The 9,299-nt window shown below is 36.3% G+C and overlaps 1 annotated feature.

The window, feature by feature from the left end:
• Window positions 2,710-3,311: an enhancer, noted in NCBI's record as "OCT4-NANOG hESC enhancer chr5:69185827-69186428 (GRCh37/hg19 assembly coordinates)". NCBI's record gives its function as "activates a minimal SCP1, AML or CMV promoter by ChIP-STARR-seq in naive H9 embryonic stem cells {active_cell/tissue: H9 hESC(naive)}" and the evidence as "EXISTENCE:reporter gene assay evidence [ECO:0000049][PMID:30033119]".

Genomic DNA, 9,299 nt, shown 5'->3' on the forward strand with positions numbered 1-9,299 from the left:
TTTCTTTTGCCTTTCATCTTAAGAGACTGCACTCATTTTCAATATCACTTTGACTAGCACCCTTTCCCTTAAGTCCCTCACTGAAGTTATTTTGTATGGTTCATAATAGAGCTAGATAAATTTGTAACAGTCTGCATTCCATCCTGAGATTCTACAACCTTTTAATTAATTTTTAATTAAAAATATAACTTTTATTTTGGTAAATATTAGCACTTCTGTGCCACACTACTATATATAAATATCAAAAAAAGGTCCAGAAAGCTATAGAAAATTTAAGTAAAGTGCTGAATGTTGAACCTAACAATAACTGGGCTAAAGTAAGTACAGAAGGCAATTTTTTATTTACGTAAATTTGTGGGATACAAATATAATCTTATTACCTCCATAAAGTACGTAGTGTTGAAGTAAGGGTTTTAGAATATACATCACCTGAAAAATGTACATTGTACTCATTACATAATTTCTCATCATCCCCTCCTCCCACCCTCCTGAAATTTCCAAGTCTCTGTTGTCTATCATTCCACATTCTATGTCCATGTGTATACATTATTTAGCTTCCAGTTATAAGTGAGAACATGCAGTATTTGTCTTTCTGTGTCTGATTTGTTTCACTTAAAATAATGACCAGTTACATCCATGTTGTTACAAAAGACATGATTTTATTCTTTTGTATAGCTGAATAGTATTCTATAGCGCATATATGCCAGATTTATTAATGTAATCATCCACTGAGGGACACATTGCTATTGTGAATAGTGCTGTGATAAACATATGGGTGCAGATACCTTTTTCATACAATTATCTGTTCTCCTTTGGGTAGATCTCCAGTAGTGGGATTGTTGGGTGAAATTGCGGTTTTATTAAGAATGTATATTCTGTAGTTGCTGGGTAGTATTTTCTGTAAATGTCAGTTAGGTCTATTTCATCTAAGGTTGAATTTAAGTCTTAGGTTTATTTGTTTTCTGTCTTGATGATAACATTTAATGCTGTGAGTGAGATGGTAAAGTCCCCCAGTATTATCGTATTGCTGTCTATTCCTTTTTTATGTCTAGTAATATTTATTTGATGAATCTTGGTGGTCTAGTGTTGGATGCATATGTGTTTAGAATTGTTATATCCTCTTGCTGAATTGATCCCTTTATCATTATGTAATGACTTCCTTTGTCATTGTTATACTGTTTTAGATTTAAGTTCTGTTTTACTTGATATAAGTATAGCTATTCCTGCTTGCTTTTAGTCTCCGTTACATGGAGTATCTTTTTTCACCCATTTACTTTAAATCTGTATGTGTCTTTACTTTTCAGTCTGTATGTGTCTATATGTTTCTTGTAAGCATAATATTTTTGGATCATTTTTTAGTTCGTTCCATCAATCTACCTTTCTTTTTTTTTTTTTTTTTACTTTTAGATGGAGTTTCACTCTGTCATCCAGAGTGGAGTGCAGTGGCGCAATCTTGGCTCACTGCAAACTCCGTCTTGCAGGTTCAAGCGATTCTCCTGCTTCAGCCTCCCAAGTAGATGGGATTACAGGTGCCGGCCACCACGCCTGGCTAATTTTTGTATTTTTAATGGAGATAGGGTTTCACTATGTTGGCCAGCCTGGCCTCGAACTCCTGACCTCGTGATCCACCCACCTCGGCCTCCCAAAGTGCTGGGATTACAGGTGTGAGCAACTGCACCTGGCCCAATATCTATCAATCTATATATTTTAAGTGGAATGTTTAATTCATTTACATTCAAGGTTAATGTTAATACATGAGGTTTTCTTTCTGCCATATTGCTGTTTGTTTTCTACTTGTTTTATAAGTTCCTTGGGGTTATTTTGTTGTTGTTTTTTGTTTTTCTTTCTGTGTGTCTCTTTGTCTTTGTGGTTTGGTGGAAATCTGTTGTGTTGCTATTTGATTGCTCGTCCTACTTTGTGTGACTGTTTTACAAGACCTATGAGTTTGCTACTTTCATGTGTTTTGATGATGATGATGAATGTTGACCTTTCATTTTTGTGTTTGGGACACCTTTGAGTATTTCTCATAGGACTCGTTTGGTGGTGACGAATTCCCTCAGTGTGTGCTTGTCTGGAAAATACTTTGAATCATTTCAAGAAAATTAGCAGTGAGTTATGTCAATCAAGCCATTGGTTTGTATTTGGTGGCACATTTACTCTGTATTATTTCACACTAGAACCATCTGAGTTAAGTTTTATTATTTGCTATATGTTGCAGATGAAGAAACTGAAGCTGAGAGAGGTTTAGTGAATGACTGAAAAGGTTGTCAGGCTGCAGGGAAAAAAACAAAACAAAACTGTACGACTAGCCTGCAATGCTTCCCAAAGTATGTAGCTTATTATTATTGGTCACTTTTTGAGTACAAAATGCTGTGCTATGTAACAAAATAATACAATGTACATATGTATAAAAGTTAACATATACATATCAATTAACATAAGCATAACTGTAATCACATATACTGATAAATAAAAATATAAAGTAATATATGGTAATGACCCAACCATTTGCCTAAGTTTCATGTATTACAGAAGTTTTGAGGAGGGACTTCAGCTGTATGCAAATCAGCAATTCGGGTTGTACAGTTGATTACCCATTAGTTCAGAATTTTAATAATTTAAAATATATTTATTAAGAACCTAACAATTGGAAGACCTTACAATAGGTGGGAAAATTCGACAGATGAATAATGCTTAGGAGATATCAGCATGTTTTGGAAGGATATTCCCATGAAGAGAAAAAGTATTGTGGGAAGTGTGGGAAGTGTTATGGTGCGAGAGTAATATAGGTTCCAGCATGTGTTTACATTATTTTGTTGGAGGTGTTGGGGAACCTTTCATGGAAGGTGTGTGGTAGACTGTTGGACAGGTTTCCTCAACTTTCGTTCCACTCTTTGAAGAGGTTAGAAAATTAAAACAAAACAAGCAATGCAGCTTCCCTTGAGCTAGCTTTATGCATGCAGCTTAGACCACTTACCGATTGTTTGCATATGAATCAGACTTAGAAAAATGGAAGAGATCAAAGCCTGTCTTGCTATTGTTGATTCTGGCAAGTGAAATCATGGGGACAATAGTTCAGAAGTAGTGGAAGTGGTAGGATTCAATATCCTTGTGCCTAATCCCCAGTTTCATGGGCATAAGAGGCTTAAAGTTTTAATAGCAGGAGCATCTTTTTGACCCAGGATTGCAGAAATGATTGCGTGCCTTTGAATTCAAGAACTCAAAACCTTCCTCCATGCCACAGCTACTTTAGTTATTTTAGCCCTTCCTATTGTATATGTATGAAATGCACTTTCTGCTTAAGATACCTATTGCGGTTTTTATTTCCTTATTAAAACCTTGGAAAAATATAGCACTTAAATTATGTTTTGTAGAAATTCACTAAGCAAATAAAGCTAAAGGGGGAGAGAGTTAACCTTCTCTGCCCCCTTTTTATCAGAAGTTAGTTGTAGAAGAAATACACAATTTTTGCGCAATGTTAGCACCATCTAAGTTCTGTAGGTCTGGAACACAGACTGGTTAAATGAGCATTTCAGGAGCGCTATAGTTGCAAAGTTAAGCAGTCACCACAATTTTATGTGTCATACAAAGATTTTTAACTTTATGTTTAAGCAACGAGCCTAGAAGCAAATGGTATTTCCATCAAGAATTGTCTCATATAAAGTAGAGCGTTTTGGAAAATGGAGTTATTAATAGATAAAAACATGTTTATACAGTTGGTTTCTAAGTATGACAAACCTATTTCTTGGTAAATTGCAAGTCCATTCCACCTGTGTTTGTAGGCTCATTTGCCTAAAAGTCTTGGGATTTTTTTCTGATGATCTATTAAATTTTCTTTCTGATTATCTTTTCTAATGCTGTAATAGCATTTCTAACACTGTAATGAAAGAGAACAAAAGTACACGCTTGCTCATCATTTACTAATTCTAAAAATATATATTGAATACATCTATGTAGCAGGTACTGTGGTAGGTGTGGAAGATAGTTGAGACAGGTAACAAGCCCAACATTACGGAGCTTAGCATCACCACCTAGAAGAGTTTTTAAAAAACATAGATAAGTGAATCATGATTATAAAGACAAAGAGATTCTTGCCATATAATTACATATAAGCAAATTTAGGATGTGATGAAAGATTTTGATATTGGTCTTCTGATTTGGCTGTAGGATGAAGTGTTTATAAGTCATCCCAAGGAAGAAACAATTCAGATGAGAACTATTCAATGGATTTGCAATAACAATCCAAAGATGGAAGAAGACACTTCTAGGTAGACAAAATTGCAAGTATAGAGAATGTAAATTAAGAGAGAGCTTAGCTTTCAGATGAATTAAAAGATTGTGGTGATCAGAATGTAGAGATTGACGAGAGACAAATGAAATAAAACTAGAAGGACAAGTAGAGATTTGTGGGTCAAGTTTTAAAATTTTATTATAAATGCACTGATACTGTTCTGAACATTTTCTTACACATGGAAATTTAATGATTATGGCTATTGAAAAATGTAACTCTTCATTTATATTTTTCCGAGAATGAAATCGGTGGAATTGCTGGGGGGTGAAAATGTCCAATGCGAAACAGGAGGCTAATTTAAGAAGGGATACTGCAAAATTGGTCATGATGGCTCAAACTGCTGTTCATAATAGAGAGAAGAAAATGGATAGAGTTACATATGGATGAGAGTAAATTGACAAGGCTAAATGCTAAAACGTGGGTAGTGACAGAAAGTAGGTGTCAAAATAGACTTCCAGGAAAAGAAAAAATGGGTCTACAGAAGAGCCAAATGCTGATGTGGGTTACATGATCCTGAGCAGATGCAGTTGTAATTGGTTAAGTAAAGTAAGTTCTTAAGATAGATTTGGCCTGGCGCTATACATTCTAGAGCCCTTGAATATAAGTGGGATATAAAACCATGGGAATGACTGTATTTGTCTAAGGAGAGAATTTGGCAGAAGAAAAGGAGACATAAGATGAAATGCAGAGGAAATTCAAATTTAATTGGCAGGTGTAGGAAGACAAGGAGATGACAAAAGGAACTGGAAATGAGTAATCAGAGACAGAAAAGTAAAAGTAAGAGTAGAATGTCATGGAAGGCAAATAATTGGAATGTTTCAAGATCAGGGAAATGGGCAATAAAGAGAAGAAAAAAATAGTGACCAGAGGGTATAGTAATGTGTAGAAATTCATCCTGTGTTAGGTTTGATTGCTTAGACGTTTTATATAAAAATCTTTCCCAGAGAGTAATAAAACAGAAGTGAGGTTAGAGAAAGAACATACGATTTAGCCAAAAGGTGGGAAAAGTTAGGAAATGAAGAATAAATATGTTTAAAGATAATGTTATGGCTACTCAATGTACAACCTCTTTTCTTTCATTATTTTTAATTGTCATATTTAAAAATAGTAATTACCACTTTTAAAAATTGTCTTATTATTTGTTACATAAGAAAATGCATTAATTCAAGCCACATAGTATCATTTATATTATGACTGTCGAAACATTACTAGAATTACTAGAACTATTAACCTAATGGCCTGAAAATTTCAACTCACTTCCCTAGCTGTCCTGATGATCATTAGTGAAAGGAAAGACTCCATTAGATAATGCTTACTTATAGAGAACTGGTTATATCTGTCTCATTTCCATACATATATCTGTATAAATTAATTTGATTAATAAAACAAACACAAGGCACAAACAACAAAACACAATTTATAAATGTCATTGAAAAATGCATGCCTGTACAATTTGGGTATTTGTAATTGTAAATTGATATACTTCATTTTTTATCCAGGAGTTACTTAGATTGAAACTTTACCTAATGTATGATAAAATAATACGTGATTAAATTTAAAAACATGATGAATTTATTTAAAATTGGCTTCAATAATGTCAGAAAGTAATAAAATAAAATGATTCCTTCAAAGACTGCACCTGTTTATTGCCTGAGATTATCTCTCTTGGCCACAAATCAATATTACTTTCTTTCATTCATCAGTGATAAAGCTTTTCAATAATTCTAATTTTAAAGGATGATTACAGCAAGTATATAGTCATTGATTGCTTAAAGGTTGCAGCTAAAATGAACACAATGGTCATTTTATTTTTAATAAATGAGCCCTTTTGAAAAGTCAAGCATTTTTCCTCTCACAAAACTTTGTGTAATAAGATTATAGATTTGATCATGTATGAGTTTGCACTGTGTGTGTGTATATATGTGTGTGTGATTTCAGCGATAAAGTTCACTGTTCCACAGCTGGCAATTTCTTCTGCTTAATTGAAAATTCCGTTTTAAAATATTTCTTTAAAGTTCTAAAATGGGTTTAAATGGGTTCATGAGCTGTAATACTATTAAAAATATATATATCTACATATTTGTTGATTCTTCTCAGTTTAAGAAGTGGAGCTTCATACTCCTCCCCTTGAAGGCAGGCTAAGCTGAGTGACTCCCATCTAAGAAATAAAACACCACAGGATTGGAATGTTACCTTCTGAGACAAGGTCACAAAGGCTAGGGTTTTAATTTTGAGTGAACTAATTTGCTCCTTACTGGTGTTTCTCTCTCTTTCTCTCCTTCAACTCTTTACGAGCCCAGCCACCATGCAAATAATTCCAAACTATCTTTTCTAGAAAGCTCACATGAAGAACCGAGGCATCCTATCTGATATCCAGCCAAATGATTAAACATTCTAGAAGCAGACTATGATGCACTGAATTTGTGAAATCCTAACCCCCAGTGTAATGATAGTAGGAGGTGGAGCTTTTGGTAGATGATAGTCTGTCTTCATGTTGGGGATTAGTGCCTTGATTATTATTTTTTATTTTTATTTTTATTTATTTATTTATTTATTTTTTGAGACAGAGTTTTGCTCTGTTACCCAGGCTGGAGTGCAGTGGTGCCATGTCAGCTCACTGCAGCGTCTGCCTCCTGGGTTCAAGTGTTTCTTCTGCCTCAGCCTCCTGAGTAGCTGAGTAGCTGAGACTACAGGTACGCACCACCACACCTGGCTAATTTTTGTATTTTTAGTAGAGACGGGGTTTCACCATACTGGCCAGGCTGGTCTGGAACTCCTGACCTCGTGATCTGCCTGCCTCAGCCTCCCAAAGTACTGGGATTACAGATGTGAGCCACCGTGCCCAGCCGGGGATTAGTGCCCTTGTAAAAGAGACCCCAAAAAGCGTCCTTGCCCCTTCTGCCATGTGAGCTAGAGGACAGTAATCTATGAACTAAAAAATGGGCTCTGACCAGACACCAAATCTGCAAGCACCTTGATTTTGCACCATCCAGCCTCCGGTACCATTAGAAACGTTTCTGTTGTTTATAAGCTACCCTGTCTATGGTATTCTGTAGCGACAGTGCAAACAAACTAAGACACGGACCTTCCAACACAAGTTAAAGGCTTCAGGGGATGCTGCCTGGGTCAACAACATGACAGCAACCTTTACTCATGAGAGACTTCGAGTCAGAACCACCTACCCAAATCCATCATTTCCCTGACTTCTATAAATTGTGTCATACATATTTGTTATTTTAAGCCATTAAGTTTTAGGGTAATTTTTAAATGGAAAAATACATGATCATAGGTAAACTATAATTAATAGAAAAATCTAATGCCAATAATATTTACCATTGATTGACCGTCAAAACTCCATTAATTATTTGCTTTCCATTTATATTTATTTTTGGATTTCTTTTTTAAGAGAATGGCACCTGTGACAGCATACTGTTAATATTACCCTTTTATCGTACTTTACCATGCCATCTCTGAAGAATATTACAGACCATTTTGGAGCATGGTGAATAAGAAATTTTCACCTTAGGAGTTCACTTGAATAGTCATTTTTATATTTGTGACTGCAAGTCACTTTTAGGGGCTGTACTTCCTTAGTACTGGTAGCATTATTATCCAATGGACTTTTTTAGCTTTCATTAGGTTTTCTTTTGTTTTTGTTCTTTAAAGAACGTTTTACTTGTCTTAGTATTTCATTTTTTAATCTATACTATGAGGCAGTAAGAGTCTTCTGTTTTTCCAAAGTGGAGACTGCTTTATATTTATTTCGTATTGTCTACAGCTGTAGTGTTCAATACATTAGCCACTAGCCACATGTGGTTATTTAAATAAGATGAAATAAAAATTGGCCGGGCGTGGTGGCTCACGCCGGTAATCCCAGCACTTTGGGAGGCCGAGGCGGGCAGATCATTAGGTCAGGAGATCGAGACCATCCTTACTAAGACGGTGAACCCCCATCTCTATTAAAAATACAAAAAATTAGCCGGGCGTGGTGGCGGGCGCCTGCAGTCCCAGCTACTCAGGAGGCTGAGGCAGGAGAATGGCGTGAACCTGGGAGGCAGAGTTTGCAGTGAGCCGAGATGGCGCCACTGCACTCCAGCCTGGGGGACAGAGCGAGACTCCATCTCAAAAAAAAAAAAGAAAATTAAAAATTAAGTTCTTTAGTTGCACTAGCCATATTTCAAATACTTGATGGATACATGTGGCTAGTGGCTAACATAAGGGATAGCACAGATATAAAACATTTCCTCGTCATATAAAGTTCTATTGGATAGTGCTGGTCTGTAGCTTATAGGATGGTATCTTAGTCTGCTTCAGCTGCTAAAACAGAATACCATAAATTAGGTAGCTTAAACAGTAGATATTTTGACCAGGCGTGGTGGCTTATGCCTGTATTCCTAACACTTTGGGAGGCCGAGGCAGGTGGATAACTTGAGCTCAGGAGTTTGAGACTAGCCTGGGCAGCATGGCAAAACCTTGTCTCTACGAAAATCAGCTGGGCATGGTGGTGCACGCCTGTAGTCTGAGCTACTTGGGAGGCTGAGGTGGGAGAATTGCTTGAACCTGGGAGGCGGAGGTTGCAGTGAGCCATGATCGCACCACTGTACTCCAGCCTGGATGACAGAATGCGACTCTGTCTCAAAAAAAACAAAAACAAACAAACAAAAAAACAGATATTTCTCACAGTTCTGGAGACTGGAAGTGCAAGATCAAAGTGTTGGCAAATTGTGTTTCTTAAAGAGGGCCTGCTTCCTAGATTGGAAATGGCCATCTTCTCTCGGTATCCTCACATGGTAGGGAGAAAAGCAGCTCTAGTGTCTCTTCTTATAAAGGAAGTAATGCCACCATAGGGGCTCTATTCTCATGACCTCATCTAAACCTAATTCTCTCCTAAAGGCCACGCCTCCCAGTATCCTCACCTTGGGGGTTAGGGCTTTATGATATGAATTTTTTTTTTTTTTTTTTTTTTTTGAGACAGAGTCTCGCTCTGTCTGTCACCCAGGCTGGAGTG

Source organism: Homo sapiens, chromosome 5 (genome assembly GCF_000001405.40).
Source record: "Homo sapiens chromosome 5, GRCh38.p14 Primary Assembly".
Lineage (NCBI taxonomy): Eukaryota > Metazoa > Chordata > Mammalia > Primates > Hominidae > Homo > Homo sapiens.